The sequence below is a fragment of the Homo sapiens genome, chromosome 8 (assembly GCF_000001405.40).
Source record: "Homo sapiens chromosome 8, GRCh38.p14 Primary Assembly".
NCBI lineage: Eukaryota > Metazoa > Chordata > Mammalia > Primates > Hominidae > Homo > Homo sapiens.
Genome location: NC_000008.11, coordinates 73,262,121 through 73,279,550, shown reverse-complemented (window position 1 = coordinate 73,279,550; position 17,430 = coordinate 73,262,121). Strand labels below are relative to the sequence as shown.

The 17,430-nt window shown below is 39.6% G+C and overlaps 1 protein-coding gene, 1 long non-coding RNA gene and 1 pseudogene across 3 annotated transcripts in view; 2 read left to right on the top strand and 1 right to left on the bottom strand.

Moving 5' to 3' along the window:
• The window catches only part of C8orf89 (chromosome 8 open reading frame 89), a 44,602-nt gene that overhangs the window by 6,382 nt on the left and 20,790 nt on the right, over positions 1–17,430 (top strand). The window lies entirely within an intron of this gene.
• On the top strand, positions 1,470–2,388 carry PRXL2AP2 (peroxiredoxin like 2A pseudogene 2; annotated as a pseudogene).
• The window catches only part of LOC105375901 (uncharacterized), a 37,845-nt gene continuing 37,710 nt past the window's right edge, over positions 17,296–17,430 (bottom strand). The window contains exon 4 of the long non-coding RNA XR_929046.3: positions 17,296–17,359. This is a non-coding gene — a long non-coding RNA (uncharacterized LOC105375901). The remainder of the gene's footprint in view (positions 17,360–17,430) is intronic.

Genomic DNA, 17,430 nt, shown 5'->3' with positions numbered 1-17,430 from the left:
CCTAAGAAGATAACTAGAAAAACATCCCCTTATTGACCTGAGGAGGCAAGAAGGAAGCTTGCCATCTACTTGAGCTATGGTAAGAAAAGAGTCAGCTGCTAGAGATTAGAGATTAATGGTCCATACTAGCTCAAGTCTGGGGTCTGAATTCATATTACTACATGGTCAGGACCGTAGTCCAAGAAATTGACATTTTAGCTGGTCTGGTACCTCTGACACCCAGGGCCAGGCAAAGATCAATGAAAAACCTCTCTGCATAGCAAAGTTCCTGTAATTCAAGGAATCCTTGACTTCTATAGATATCGATCTCTCTATAGATGAGTTTGCAAAGATTACAGAATATGTAAGGAAATTAACTGCAAGGAAGCAGACTTGGCAGATGCTGCAAACGGGAGATTTGTACCCTAAAACTAAATAGAATGGCATAGAAAAAAATTTAAATTTTTCATATTCAAGAAGGTGAAGGAATGGAAACCATAAGACAAGAACAAGACCATATGAAGAAGAGCAGAAGGACTGGGAAAATGTCCTGTAATACTTAGGACAGTTTGGTACAACAAAGAATTGTCCTTTTAATTAACAGGGTAGCTAAAATGAGAATTAAAAAGGGGGAAAAAAAGAAAAAAAGAGTTGTCGTACCTAAGATGCTTGGGTTGAGACTCTCAGTATAGAAAATAGGGGGAGTTATGGATCACTAAAATGACTATAGTTAAAGATAGTCACTGAACACACTCATTAACTCACTTTCTTCTAAAATTCTATTGATAGGAAAGGGTTTAAAAATTTTTTTAATAGCATGGATTTATAAGGACTTAGAGAATAATAGATATAGTATCAACAAAATTTGGAAGTTGGAATCAGAACAGTATTGGGCTTCTCAACAATAAGAATCAAAACATGTAGACTATGGAATAGTCCTTTCAACATTTTTGGAAAAATAATTTATAATCTGAGATTCTGCTCTCATCCCAAGTTATCAATAAGTATGGGGGTGAAATGTAGAAAATTTTCAGACACACAGTATCTTAAAAAATTTTACTTCCAGGGGCCTGCCCCTGGGACCCTTGGGGCCAGGTGGTTTGGCCCCTCAGCGCCCGGGCGTCAGGGTAGGAGAAGGCTAGCAGAAGGGAGGCACTTGTGGTGGTTTTTAAAAAGAAAATAATGAGGATTTATTTTGAAAAGCATTGTGAAGGAGTCAGCTTGAATAGTCTTGAATGCTCCTGCTTAGGCCCAGCCTTGGAGAATGAGAATTGGGATTCTGACTGCAAACCCTGACTCCTTACCATACTCATTCATCAGAAAACTCTCCATTTTGTGTACAAATAACGTTTTAGGGGTAATCATTGTTTTAGAAATGAGAAAGAATTATACATCGTATTATGGCACTTTTTGTAAGCATCTATTCAGAGGTTTCTGAATCTGGCATTTGAGAGTAGGGCTGGGCCAGAACCAGGCAGACACACACCCCAAGGAGCAGAGCTGAGAGTTGGAGACTGAGGCAGAAATGTCTTTCTTCCAGAACCCAAGTTTCCTCACCATGGGCATGTGGTCCCTCGGTGCAAGAGCCCTGGGGGCTGCTGCCTTGGCATTGTTGCTGGCCAACACAGACATGTTTCTCTCTAAGCCCCAGAAAGCGGCACTGGAGTACCTGGAGGATATAGACCTGAAAATGCTGGAGAAGGAACCAAGGACTTTGAAAGCAAAGCAGCTATGGGAAAAGAAAATGGACCTGTGATTATGGCTGTGCGGAGGCCAGGCTGTTTCCTCTGTTGAGGGGAAGCTGCGGATCTGTCCTCCCTAAAACCCATGTGGACGAGCTGGGTGTCCCCCTCTATGCAGTGGTAAAGGAGCACATCAGGAATGAAGTGAAGGATTTCCAGCCTTATTTTAAAAGAGAAACCTTCCTGGATGAAAAGAAAAAGTTCTATGGTCCACAAAGGCAGAAGATGATGTTTATGGGATTTATCTGTCTGGGAGTGTGGTACTTCTGAGCCTGGAATGGAGGCTTCTCTGGAAACCTGGAAGGAGAAGGCTTCATCCTCAGGGAAGTTTTCGTGGTGGCATCAGGAAACCAGGGGATTCTTCTCGAGCACCGAGAAAAAGAATTTGGAGACAAAGTAAACCTACTTTGTCTGGTTCTGGAGGCTGCTAAGATGATCAAACCACAGACTTTGGCCTCAGAGAAAAAATGATCGTGTGAAACTGCCCAGCTCAGGGATAACCAGGGGCATTCATCTGCGTTCATTGGATGTGTTGCTCCCACTTGTGTCCCTAAGGAGTGAGAAACCCATTTATACTCTATTCTCAGTATGGATTATTAATGTATTTTAATATTCTGTTTAGGCCCAGTAAGGCAAAATAGCCCCAACTGACAAAAATCTAAAAAACCAATGAGGATTACTAAGCTAAACCCTGGAAGATTTGAGGCTTAAAATTGACTGCCGGGATGGGCGCAGTGGCTCATGCTTGTAATCCCAGCACTTTGGGAGGCTGAGGTGGGCAGGTCACTTGAGGTCAGGAGTTCAAGACAAGCCTGGGTTACATGACAAAACTCTGTCTCTACTAAAAACACAAAAATCAGCCGGGCATGGTGGCGTGCACCTGTAGTCCCAGCTATTCAGGAGGTTGAGGCAGGAGAATCACTTGAACCTGGGAGGTGGAGGTTGCAGTGAGCCGAGATCACGCCACTGCACTCCAGCCTGGATGACTGAGACTCCCTCTCAAAAAAAAAAAAAAAAAAAAAAATGACTGCTGTGCCTCATTACAAATGTATATGGTATTTGGGTGCTGTTGTTTGAAATTATTTTTCTTTCCAGGTCTTCAAAAATCTAAGAAAAGTTGATGGTTGACTTGAAGATTACAGAATTTAAGGTTTTTTGGCTTGTGTGTTTTCTACTAATAATTTGTTATATAATAATAATTTCATAATAGAATGGTCATGCTCTGGGATAGTTTGACAAAGGTAAATTATAAAGTGAAATGTCTTGTTTCATTGTCTTCCATTCTAACCTCAAAGATTTGTTTCTCTAGAATAAATAACCACCTCTGACTTTAATAAAAGTATGCATCAGAAGGCTGGGTGTGGTGGCTTACTCCTGTAATCTCAGCACTTTGGGAGGCTGAGGCGGGTGGATCACCTGAGGTCAGGCGTTCAAGAATAGGCTGGCCAACATGATGAAACCCCGTCTCTACTAAAAATACAAAAAATTAGCAGGGCGTGGTGGCATGCGCCTGTGATCCCAGCTACTTGGGAGGCTGAGGCAGAAGAATCGCTTGAACCTGGGAGTTGGAGGTTGCAGTGAGCCGAGATTGCACCACTGCACCCCAGCCTGGGTGACAAAGCAAGACTCCATCTCAAAAAAAAAAAAAAAAGCATCAGAAATCACCTGTATGTACAAGCTTTTCTGATACAACTAATAATAAAAATATATTTACCATAAAAAAATTTTACTTCCTATGAACCCTTTCTCAGGAAGCTTCATAAAACAAGGGAGCGAACAAAAACCAAACAGAAATAAGCTTATATGCACACATAAATGCATATATAATTTTTAGAAATTAAGGTAATGTGATAATGGCTCAGGGGTAGTTAATAAGATCAGAGAAACAGTATCAAAATCAGACTCAAATATTAGGGGATCTTGGCTTTATCTTTTTGTCTTAGAGTAGGAAAGAGGATTTCTTCAATATGATATTATAGAAAAATAGACAAATTTGACTATATCAAAATTTAAAGTTTCTGATAAACTAAAAGACATAAACAGGTTAAAAATAAACTAATATTGGGAGAGATATTTGCAACATATATAACATATAAAGAATTAGTACTCACCAAATATAAAGCACTACAAATAAGAATAAAACAAAACCCTGTACAAAAATGGGGAAAGCATAGAAATAGGCATTTCACAGAAGAGGAAACCTAAGTGGCAAATAAACACTTTTAGGGAAGTAAAAATTAACAAGGTACCATTTAACATCCAAAGATTAGCAAAAATTAAAATAGCTTAATTGGCAGGGTACAGTGGCTCATGCCTGTAATTCCAGCACTTTGGGAGGCTGAGGTGGGTTGATCACTTGAGGTCAGGAGTTTGAGACCCGCCTGGCCGACATGGTGAAAACCTGTCTGTACTAAAAATACAAAATGTTAGCCAGGTGTGGTGGGGCATGTCTGTAATTCCAGCTACTCCGGAGGCTGAGACAGGAGAGTTGCTTGAACCTGGGAGCCAGGGGTTGCAGTGAGCTGAGATCAAGCCACTGCATTCCAGCCTGGGTGACAGCAAGACTATGTCTCAAAAAAAAAAAAAAAAAAAAAAAAAGAACTATTACAAGTGTACATAAGAATGTGGGTAAACAAAAATTATGGGAATACAGGTAGAGATAACCACTTATTCAGTATAAATTAAGATTAGTACATGGAGAATAATCTATTAGTAGTAAGTAAAGTTAAATATCTGCACATCTTACAAACCAGTGAATCCAATTTTAGGTATATTGCCCTGCAGAAACACACATGTGTATTAGGAGTCATTTACAAAGATATTAACTGTCATATTGTTTGTAATATTAGAAAATTCTAAACAATTCACCTTACCACTTGTAGGAGGATGGATAATTACATATTCATATAATCGATATGATATAGACAGCAGCTAAAATCAATAAACTAAATCTATATGTACACTCAATCTCAGTCTCATGTGACTCAATCTCAATGACTCAATCTCGAGTGAAAAAAAGTTGCAGAAGATATGTGTAACTTATTTATGTAAAACTAATAAGATATCAAACAACTCAGTATCTTTTCTCCTATACCTACGTGCAGTTAAAATATAAAAGCAGACTTCAAGGATTCACACCAAATTTATGAGAGTGGTTGCTTCCGGAAAAGGAGCATGATGGGGGATGGAAAAATATTTGCTGTCTTTCCCTTAAAAACATAGGACGCAAACATGCAAATTCTTAAATTTTGCTAATATTTAAGCAATATTAGCATATATTTAGCATAATGTTAGGGTGATAGGGAAACAAATGTTACATTTCTCTCTGTACCAATGCATTTTTTAAAGCAAACAAAAGATAACCTAAAAAAGATGAAATGGCCAGGTGCGGTGGCTCACACTTGTAATCCCAGCACTTTGGGAGGCCGAGGTGGGCGGATCACAAGGTCAGGAGGTTGAGACCATCCTGGCTAACACGGTGAAACCCCATCTCTACTAAAAATACAAAAAATTAGCCAGGCGTGGTGGCGGGTGCCTGTAGTCCCAGCTACTCGGGAGGCTGTCAGGAGAAGGGCGTGAACCCGGGAGGCGGAGCTTACAGTGAGCTGAGATCGCGCCACTGCACTCCAGCCTGGGCGACAGAGCAAGATTCCATCTCAAAAAAAAAAGATGAAATATGGTCTGCTGTATACTAAATAATATAGTGTCAGGTAAGCACCTGTCTCCCCTCACCCAAAAAAAGTCCTTTTGACAAGCAATATAATATAAAAGAGAAAATAGTTAACAGTAATCTCAAGGTGGTAAAAAAAATTAGATGAACGTTTCAGAAAAGCATAATTTGGATGATATATCATTACAAAATATAACATTTTGACCTTTTAATGGTATTTCTTAGTTCTATTTAGTAGTTTTAAGAGTCATAAAATATACTTAACTAAGAAATAAAATAATTAGAATACATTCCATATAGTTACCAAGGTTAAGCAAGATAAACAGTTGGATATTAAGAAGACCATCTTATGTATCAATCTCCCATTTAAATTTTGAAGTTTGAAGTATCTTTCAGAAAAAAAAAAAAAAACTGGCATCACCAACAAAAAAGCACCACAAGTTCTCACTCTGGGCGCAGACTTCACGTGGAACTGACAGCCTGGGCCCCAGGCTTCAGGCTTCACTGGGGACCGCCTCTTTCCACCTAGGAGCCTGACTCCTGCCGCCATCAACCTGCCGTCCATGGTGCCCATGGCGCCCAGGCTATTCATGCAGAGGGGTTCCTGCAGGGCCAAACTGAGCTGCCCTCAGCCCCACCTCGGCCTCCCTCCTGTGCTCATCAGTGACCACAGTCTGGAGAGGGCCAAGGTGGCAGGCGGCTGGCATGTTAGTGCCTCCCTGAGCGAGCACACGCCCAGCCAGGTTGTGACAGTGCCTGGGCTCGGCCATAACTTTGCTCTAAAATCAGAGTGGGCACTGGGAGCTGGGAGAGGCCAGGCAGGGGAAGCAAGCACTTTGAAGCCTACAGAGGCAAGTGGTTTCCGGGGCCCTGAGAGTGCAGGGATGCCCAGGTCTGCAGCCATGGCTGGGTGGCTGCAGCTGTGCCCAGGAACATGGGACTTTTGCCCCGCCACTCAGAAACGGGCACGGCTTCTGCCTGTTCCTCGCTCCCACTGGCTCCATGGAGCATGCAGCCCTGGCTGCACCTCCCCCACTGCAACTGGCATCATGGCAATGACCACTCCAGGCCGGTTGCCGCTGCCATCAGAAGTTTTGAACAAAATTCTGAAAACTTTTGAGGCTCCTAATTTCTCTGATTTTACTTACCTTTTTCCTTGGCATTATAGGAGAGAGATTAAGGGCATCATCTTTGCAGTTGGGAAGGTGGCCTGAGTTAGATTTCCATTTCAAACAGTTAGTAGCTATTGGATTTTGTTATCTAAACCCCAGGTTTCTCAATGTAAAATAGAGATGATAATAATAATAGTGCCATCCTCCAAGGTAGGCTCAATATTTACACTTTACAAAAATTAAGCAGCCATAAAAAAATGATGAGTTCATGTCTTTTGTAGGGACATGGATGAAGCTGGAAACCATCATTCTCAGCAAACTATCGCAAGGACAAAAAACCAAACACTGCATGTTCTCACTCATAGGTGGGAATTGAACAATGAGAACACTTGGACACAGGAAGGGGAACATCACACACCGGGGCCTATCATGGGGTGGGGAGAGGGGGGAGGGATAGCATTAGGAGATATACCTAATGTAAATGACGAGTTAATGGGTGCAGCACACCAACACGGCACATGTATACATATATAATAAACCTGCACGTTGTGCACATGTACCCTAGAACTTAAAGTATAATAAAAATATATATATATTAAAAAAAAGAATTAAGTGGGCTGATATAATGTGCATGTCATAGTGCTTGGTACAGTGAGTATTCAAGGAATGTTAGATGTTTTAATTTTATTATGATTACAATAATAAGTATATTAAGCCCTGATTAGGTCCTTTCACAAATGGGCATAGAAATGGACAATTTTCCTGAGTTAACTGGTCAAAGGTGGGAGAGAGGAGAAAGGAAAAAGGAACTTAGAAAATGTTTCTGAATCTGCAAGAAAGATATACTTCTCTCATTAGGAATTAATTGAATTGCCAGTGGTAAAGGGGGAAAAGGTGGAGATCTAAGTTTGTAGTTTCACCCTGAAAGGAAAGAGGAAGAGGCATTGAGTCAAGCTATACATCCCCTACCCCAGCCATTAGTCGATTCTTGGCCTATAATAATAATCATGATGATTATGATAATAATTGCAGCTATCATTTCTTTCTGTGCTTAAGAAGGATCCCTTACTGTGGTCTGAAATGAAGATTCTTGCTTGAGAATTAAAGCAGTGTACTAGGTTATATGGTTTGGCTCTGTGTCCCCGTCCAAATCTCATCTTGAATTGTTCTCCTATAATTCCCACATGTTGTGGGAGGGACCTGGTGGGAGATAATTGAATCATGGGAGTGGTTTCCCCCCTCATGATTGTGAGGCCTCTCCAGCCACATGGAATTGTAAGCCCAATAATCCTCTTTCTTGTGTAAATTGCACAGTCTCGGGTGTCTTTATCAGCAGCATGAAAATGGACTAATACACTAGGCATTTAGTTAGGTGCTGTCTTAGTATGTTTAGTGTTGCTATAAAAGAATACCTGAGGCTGGGTAATTTATAAAGGAAAGTGGTTTATTTCACTCATGTCTCTGCAAGCTGTACAAGAAGTATGGCTCTGGCATCTGGTTGGCTTCTGGCAAGGGCTTTTGTGTTGCATCAAAAAATGGCAGAGAAAGTCTAAGGGGAAGTGGGCACGTGCAAAGAGGGACCTAACCCAAGGGGCATCCTGGCTTTATCACAACTCCCTCTCCTGAGATGTAATCCATTTCCCCAGAACCAATCCAGTCTCATGAGAGTGAGAACTCACCCACTGCCAGGAGAAGAGGCACCTAGCCATTCATGAGAGATCCACTCCCATGACCCAAACACCTCCCACTAGGCCTCACCTCCCAACACCACCACACTGGGGGTAAAAGTCAGCATGAGATTTGGGGAGGAAACAAACCATATTCAAGCTATAGCAGGTGTTTTCCTTAAGTTACCTTTAAACTTCACAATGACTCTGTAAGGCAGAGTGTGCTAGTTCTCAAGATTGGGAGACTGAGGCATAGACAGGTTGACATGAAAATAAATGGCTGCCTTATCCAGGAAGGGGTGGCAGGAATGGGGGATTGGCAAAGGGCTTTGAGGTGGCATGGATGGGGATGTAAATATATCACTCACCATTGCATCTATATACATTCATCTCTTCATTTCTTGATTCACAGGCTGTGAAGTTTTATTTCACAGAACTTTATTTAGGGAAAGCTTAAATGTAACTTTTCCTGTAAGTTGAATATTTAGACACAAATAAGCAAATTAATTGCTTTCAGATTTTGGAAGTGGGAAATACTTTTGTTCACATAAGCACTTTGCAAGTGTTTTTCCTAATTTTTCTGAATGCTGCTTATTTTGTTAATATTTATTTATTAATTTATTTGTTTATTTATAAGATTAGAGACCAGGTCTCCCTGTGTTTCCCAGGCTGGTCTCGAACTCCTGGGCTCAAGTGATCCACCTGCCCTGGCCTCCCAAAGTGCTGGGATTACAGGTGTAAGCCACCACGTCTGGACTATTTTTTAAATTTTGTTAGAGCTTCATTTTAATATTTCTTCTTTAGTTGTGTTCCTTCGGCCATCTCCCCTCCTTCCTGAAAGATAATTTGATAAAAGTAATAGTTTTTGTTTTGTTTTGTTTTGTTTTCTGTTGCATAACATTTGATGCAAACCATTTAACCTCCCCAAATCTGTTTGTTTAACTCAAAAATTAGGGGATTAGGTCTCTTAATCAGTGATTTCTGTTGAACCATTCTGTTAATTTTCAAGTAAGGATCTCAATTCAGACAGGAGTTAGATATTCTTTTTATACAGATACGTAGACCTGACTTTGAAAAACTGGTTATTACGCTATTAAATTTTCAACGACTTTCACTTATCTCCTTGCTTATTTTTAGATGTTTGGTATTGGGATGGGGGTGCATGGGCAATTCTAATTCCAGAAATCTTGCACAGAATAAATTTTTATTATAATGACTGAGGTTTTAAAAATGAAGATTTGAAAAAAAAACTTTGTTGTTTTTCATTTCACTCAATGATTCTATTCTCTTCCACTAAGTAATTAAAGATTTTCTTGCTACTATAAGTTTTTAATGAAGGTTCTTATATTAACAGGAACAACTTTCCCCATTAACATACTAGTGTTGCTTCAGTGAGTTTAATCTCTGTAAACAGGAACCCCTTACCTTCTTAATATCTTCAAAAATATAGATAAATATAACCAGATCTCTATGTTGAGGTCACCTTTTAATACATTTTAAAATTTTTGTTTAAGAATTCTGCTTTTAAAACAATATGTGTCAAGTGCTGAGTAGTGCTGATTTTTAAAATAACAGTGAAAGCTACAGCTTTTTGAAGCTTACTCTGTTTACATACTATATTGAGTTATTATGTCATGGGAGCCCCTAAGGAGCTGGGTTTGTGTTGTATTATTGGAGGAGGCAGACAGTAGTATCTTAGTGCACAGCCTGCAGGAATGCTGAATAGATGATTGCTTAAATCTACCTGCATATATTAAGTGCTTTGAAGGTTTGCTGGGTGGATGAATTTATCCTGAGGCAGCCCAGAGTCGCTGTAAGGGTTGGTGGTTCTGCTAATGGAAAAGAACACTGTGCATCTGCCATTGCTTCTCACCCAGTGCAGATCAGACTATAATGAATGTTCAAAGTTTTCTATTGTATTAGGTTTGGAAAAATTCTGTATTAGAGCAGAGACTATTGTTTCAATGTGATTTATGACAGTGGTGGTTAACTGAGAGGTTTTCATCTTTTCATTTTAGGAGAGCAAAAACTTATTGTCAGTTTTTTAGGGAGATTGTGGCATAACAGCAAAATATATTTTATACTCGTAATCACTTTTCCTCAAATTCTACAGGACAATTATTAAGTATTCCCTGTATTATATTATGAGACATAAAGGGAGGGAATGACATGTTTAGACTAATTTTTAAATAGAGATTTTGCCCTAGCCAGTGTAGCAGGGATTGCTAAAGTTTTCTCACTGTACCTGTTCCTTCTTTTTTTTCACTAAAAAGATTCCTGACATTTTTGCTGGATACTTGATCCCCACAATGAAGTCTACATTTTCCACCTTGTTTTGCAGCTTGGTGTGACCACATGGCTAAGTTCTAATCAATAGGATATAATCAAAACTCTGTATGACTTCTGGAAAGTGACCTTAAAGGGAAGGAGAATGTCTCTCCCCTTCCTTCTTCCTGTAGGCAGGAGCTCAAGCTGTTTTGTCTTGTTTTTCAATTGTGGAGTATGCTCAGAACATCCCAAAGTAGAAAGAGTTATATAATAAGGCCCAATGTACCAGCCATTCATTGCAACAATTAGCAACTCATGGCTGATGTGGTTTTACCCATACTGTCACCACTACCCTCTCCCTCCCACGCCCATTATATGGAAGCAAATCACAAACATTGTATCATTTTATCCATAAATATTTCCATATATATCTGGAAAGATGAGAGTTCTTTTGAAAACACAAACCATTATGACATCTTAAAAAATTAATCATAATTCTTTAATGCTATCAAATATCCTGTCAGTGCTCAGACTACCCTGATTGTCTCATAGAGTATCTTTTAAAAAGCAATTCATGCAAAGTTCATACACTGCAATTGTTTGCTATGTTTCTTTTCTTTTTTTTTTGTTTTTTGAGACAGAGTCTCACCCTGTCGCCCAGGCTGGAGTGCAGTGGCGCGATCTCGGCTCACTGCAACCTCTGCCTCCCAGGTTCAAGCAGTTCTCCTGCCCCAGCCTCCTGAGTAGCTGGGATTACAGGTGCGTGCCACCACACCTGGCTAATTTTTTTTATCTTTAGTAGAGACAGGGTCTCACCATGTTGGCCAGGCTGGTCTCGAACTCCTGACCTCGTGATCTGCCTGCCTCGGCCTCCCAAAGTGCTGGGATTACAGGCATGAGGCACCGCGCCCAGCCTGCTATGTTTCTTAAATCTCTTTTAATCTATAGATTATCCCTACCCCCTATACGGATGATTGACTGATTAATTGTAATTTATTTGTGGAAAGAAACAGTTTATTTGTCTCAGGTCAAAACTGCAGTCTGATTTTGCTGATTGTATCCCCGCGATGCCATTTAATATGTTGTTTTGTCTTCTATTCCTCTAAATCAGGAGTTAGATCTAAAGGCTTCATCAGAGTTGGGTTTGATTTTTTTCTGGCAAGAATGCTATATAGATGGTGGTGTTCTGCCAGAGACACATCTTCGGCAGGAGTTAGTACTGCAGTGTTGAGGTAGAATTTCCTTCCTCAAGGAAACATCAGTTTTTCTCCAGGGACTTTCAACTAATTAGATAAAGCCCACTCAGATTATTGAGGAAAATCTCCTTTACTTAAAGTCAACTGACTGTACGTGGTAACTACATCTACAAAATACTGTCCCAGCAACACCTAGATTAGTGTTTAATTAGATAACTAGATACTATATAGCCTAACCAAGCTGAAACAAAACATTAATCGTCATAATTGCCAAGCTCCATTTATTAAGGTTTGCAAAATGGTAATATTTTATAATCATACTCTAATTCCCTCATTTATTAGTTGAGATACTGTGAGAAACTTTCCTATCATCATTTATTTGAATAAATGCTTGGTTATTTCCTGATATGTATTGGGTTTCAAATTAAGTTGATCCTTTAGTATCCTCCAAAGATGAGTAAGGTTTTCATTTGTTTTTGCTGTTGTTTTGTTTTTAAGTGCTGTACAGCAGTTCCCCCTCATTTTCAGTTTCTGGTTTCAGTTATCCATCATCAACTGAGGTCAGAAAATATTACATACAATAAAATATTTTGAGAGAAAGGGCACATTCACATAACTTTTATTATAGTACATTGTTATAATTGTTCTATTTTATTATTAGCTGTTGTGGTTAATCTCTTACTGTGCCTAATTTATAAATTATCATAGGTATGTATATATAGGAAAAAACATAGCATATATAGGGTTCAGTACTATCCACAGTTTCAGGCACACACTGGAAGTCTTGAGCTGTATTCCCCAGGGATAAGGGGGGATTACCGTATATTTACACATTTGTGTATTCTACATGCTTAACATATTTTAATCCATTAAAGTTAATATTCTTATTAAGGTTTATAGTCCTATCTTTGGTCAGTTGGCACCTCATTAAATCGGTGACTGCCATGATTGCAGTTGTCTTTGATAGATTCCTAGACTTCTGAAATGACAAATTATTACAGGTTCATTTTGTATATTTCCTACCACAGACCTGGAATCAGCTACTTCTTCCAGGGGCCCTAGTTTTTTTTTTCTTTTTTCAGGAATGAGATCACAGCCTGGTTGTTAGGGGTTTTTAATGCTCTTGGTTTGATGATTGTTTCTGGGCGCCTGCAGTTCAGTGGACAGTGCTAGGAAACATTTTTTCATGGTTATTTTAAATAAAAGCCTGTATAATGATACTTCCAATTCATGTTTAGGACTTTGGGAGTTTTCACTTAATCTTATTGATCTTAAATCTTTATGTTTTTCTCCAACACTGGAAACCTTGGTTGCCATCAGCACCATATAAACATTCACCTACTGAAAAGCCACCTCAAACCATAAGGTAGATCCTGTACGTTCAGGGAGGTAGAGCAGTAAGATAGAAGTAGTCTGGCTCTCTGACATCCTGGCACCAGCCTTGAGAGGTCTGGCCAGGCTTTTATATGGTGGAAAATATTCTTGTGTAAGCCATTCATATTCCAGCCATCTTTTCCCATGTCATGATGACACCTCAAATGAGTGGATAGAAACTTTGAGCAATCTATCCCAAGATAGAAGGGCTTCATAGATTGCTCCATCTCAGAGTTCTGTGAGGGACCATAAGCAGGTCCATTCACTCACTGAAAAGCCCAGAAGGCTGCCTGCCAGCTACACAGTCATCCTAAATGAGCCAGAGGTGGCCGAAGGTTTTCACTCTTCTGTCTCCCTCTTTATCAATTTCTTTTCTGTTCTCCAGATGAATGGAGATACAAGAAAAGGTAAGAATCATTTTTTAAAAGTTAAGATACCTTCATTAGTGTTTTGAAATTCAAATTTTAGACTGTGGGAATGTGACTGGATGTGAGGAGATCAGTTAAATCCTAATACAACAACCCAGGCATGAAATGACAGTAGCTTGGAGTAGGGTGGAGATGGAGAGAAGTAGACAGATTAAGAGATATGTAAGAGATAAAACGAACAGCTCTTATTGAATGACAAGATTTAGGAGGAAAGAGGGGTGTCCATGTTGGCATCCAGGTTTCTACCTTTTGTTACTGGAGCATGATGATGTCAGGTACTGTTAGGGAATCTGGAAGGAAACATACTTCAGTTGGAAAACGTGGCTAGTTTGGGGGCATTTTGAATTTGAGATGCCCTTGAGACATCCAGGTAAAGCTCCCTAATAAGCAGTTCTTTTTGTATGCTGATTGCTCAGAAGAGATGCCTGAAGATATAGATTTAGGATTCTTTGAAGAATGGCATGGGAGAGATCACCATGCTAGCCATATTTAACTGCTTACATTCCTTGAACAGAGAAGTTCTTTTGATACCTCTGTGTCATTGCCCAGCAACGACTCTATAAAGAGGTCTGACCACTCCTCCAACCTGGACTTAGCTTAGGGGGGTCATCTCCTTAAAGCCTTTCCTGAGAATTAACAACTCCCTTCTTTGTGTTCCACAGTGTCCTTTATGTGCCTTTAAACCAGAGATTTGCTTTTAACCCAACTCTAAGATGTTTCTTCCTATTCAAAGCCTTCTGATGGATTTTTGATGCACGTAGAATAAAATCCAAACTCTGTTATGACTTATAAAGCCCTAAAATACCTGATATCTGCTATCTTTCAAACCTTGTCTTATTCTCCTCTCCCCTTTGCTAGCTTCATATGTAATTTAAAAATTTCTGAAAGCCACATTAAAAATGCAAAAAGAGACAGGTGAAATTAATGTAAATAACCTTATTTAATCCAAAGTATCCAAACTAGTATCATTTCAACATAAAATCAATACAGCATATAAATTGTTAATGAGATATTTTAGATTCTTTTTTTTTTCCTCAAGAAGTGTTTGCAATCTGATGTGTATTTTACACTTATAGCACATCACAATTCTGACTAGCATGTTTTAAGTGCTCAGTAGCCACCTATGACTAGGGTCTACCATATTGGATACCATAGCTGTGATACACAGAGCTTGTCTACCTATAGAACATGCCAACCTCATTCTGGTTTTATAGCCTTTGCACTCACTGTTCTCTTTGTGAAGAGTGCTCTTCACTTTTAGATATTCCTCCAGATATCTGTGGCTACTCTGGTCCATTGAGATCTCAGCTCAGGATCACCTTATTGCCAGATGTGGTGGCTCACGCCTGTAATCCCAGCACTTTGGGAGGTTGAGGCAGGTGGATCACTTGAGGTCAGGAGTTTGAGACCAGCCTGGTCAACATGGCAAAACACTGTCTCTACCAAAAATACAAAAATTAGCTGGGTGTGGTGGTGGGCACCTGTAATCCCAGCTACTCAGGAGGCTGAGGCAGAAGAATCACATGAACCCGGGAGGTGGAGGTTGTAGTGAGCCGAGATCGCGCCACTGCACTCCAGCCTGGGTGACAAGAGTGAAACTCCTTCTCAAAAAAAGAGATCACTTTGTCAATGAGACCTTCCTTAGCCACCCAGTCTGAAGCGCTTCTTGCCCCTCATGACATTGCCAAGTCAACCCTCATTATTCACAGATTCTGCCCTTACAGATTCATCTGCTCACTAAAATGTATTTGTAACCCCAAAGTCAATACTTGTGATGCTTTCCTAGTCTCCTGTGGACATGTGCAGAGCAGCAAAAAATTCACCTGAAGTATACTTTCCCAGCTGAGGTCGAACAAGTCAATGCTCTGCCTTCTCGTTTTAGCTTCCATACTGTAAACAAGTGTCTTTTTCACTATTTAGTACCATGTTTTTTGCATTTCTGTCCTTTTTTTGGTGATTTTCCTATTTTAGAGGACCCCCAAGTATAGTTACACTGAAGTGCTGTTCAGTGTTCCTAAGCACAAGAAGGCTGTGATGTATCTTGTGGAAAAAATACGGGTGTGAGATTAACTTATTTGACCGTGAGTTCCATGTTAATGAATCAATAATGTATATATTAAATAAGATGTCTTTAAACAGAAACACAAATATGACAAAGTGATGTATGGACTGGTTGATGAAAATGTTGGGACCAGAGGCTCATAGGAACCTACCCTTATAAGTCCCCCTAGGAACAATGGTTCAGTATTTGCTAATTCAGTGTTCACAGTGACTTTATAGAACTTAACCATCACCAATATAGAACTCTACTTTTATTGTACTTTATCTGAAATAAACTTGGTTCATTCATTTACTTACCTATTGTCTGACTGCCCCAATTAAGCTTCAGGAGAGCAGGGACCTTATCTCCTTGGGTTCAGTATTACATCTTCCATGCTTGACATGACAGATGTTCAATACATTTTGCTAAGTGAGTGAACGAATGGGTGGATGAATAATAAATATGTGAGCCAATATTTAACATTTCCTTTGAGTTCTAAGCTAGGTGATAAAAGGAAATCTTAATTTAAAAATATTTGAAATATTTTATTATTATTTTTTGAGATGAAGTCTCTCTCTGTCACCCAGGCTGGAGTTCAGTTGTGTGATCTCGGCTCACTGCAACCTCTACTTCTCAGGTTCAAGCAGTTCTCATGCCTCAGCCTCTGAGTAGCTGGGATTACAGGTGTGCACCACCACACATGGCTAATTTTTTTGTATTTTTAGTACAGATGAGGTTTTGCCATGTTGACCACACTGGTCTTGAACTCCTGGCCTCAACTGATCCACCCACCTCAGCCTCCCAAATTCTTGAGATTATAGGTGTGAGCCACCATGCCCAGCTGAAATATTTTTAAAATGTTTAAATACACCCATATTTGGGGGTGCCTTAAAAATACAGTAATTTTTTCACAGCTGTTAGTTTTAAACAAGTTTATCTCAACACTAGTTCTCTTTACTGGTAATTTGAGAAAGCATTTTTTCAGTGATTTTTTAATTGGTTGCCCTAGAACATAAGTACTTTCTTCTTTTTATTATCTCTTCCTACGTGTGTGTGTGTGTTTTAAATAGCCTTTTTATTAGTTCTGTAAAGTATCCTTAATTTTTCTTTTTCCACTAGAATTAGGTAGAGACCGTGTTTACAGGAAACATCACATCAAAAATATTTGGTTTTTCATGATTTCAGCATATTCCTTAAGTTATATATTCTTGCAGATATGGCTCTTTTATTTTGATTTTTTTCAATTTTTTTTTTTTTGAGCCAGGATCTTACTCTGTTGCCCAAGCTAGAATGCAGTGGCATGATCATGGCTCACTGCAGCCTAGAACTCCTGGGCTCAAGCAGTCCTATCACCTCATCCTCCTCAGTAGCTGGGACTACAGATGTATGCCACTATGCTTGGCTGTTTTAAAATTTTTTGTAGATTAGGGGGTCTCACTATGTTGCCTGGGTTGGTCTTAAACTTCTGGCCTCAAGTGATCCTCCTGCCTCAGCCTCTCAAAGTGCTGGGATTACATGTGTGAGCCATTATGCCCAGCCAGCTGTTACTTAAAAAAATTTTTTTTTATTTTGGAAAATTTCAAATACACACAAAAGCATAAGGATAACAATAGTATAATGAATGTGTATTTATCATGTGAACTTTTACTAAAAAGCCAGTTTTAGGAAAACTTTATCTTGGCCTGATAGAATAAAATGCCACTAAGAGGGCTGTTCTTTGGTATAACCTTGGTCTGGAATGTTCAGAAATGCAGATGTCCGCTGGAGGGTGTGAGGCATTTATTGTTAGTCCCTGATGGCCTCTTCTGTCCTAGAAGAGGGGCTTTGAAGAGGGAGAGGAGGCTGACTTAAAGCTGAAAGAAAGTTGTCTGGTCATCTTCACCTTTACAAATAAAATGAGAAAGAAGCTGTTAGAGTCTGGATCGTGATTCTGAGTTCTTTAAGACTGGAAAT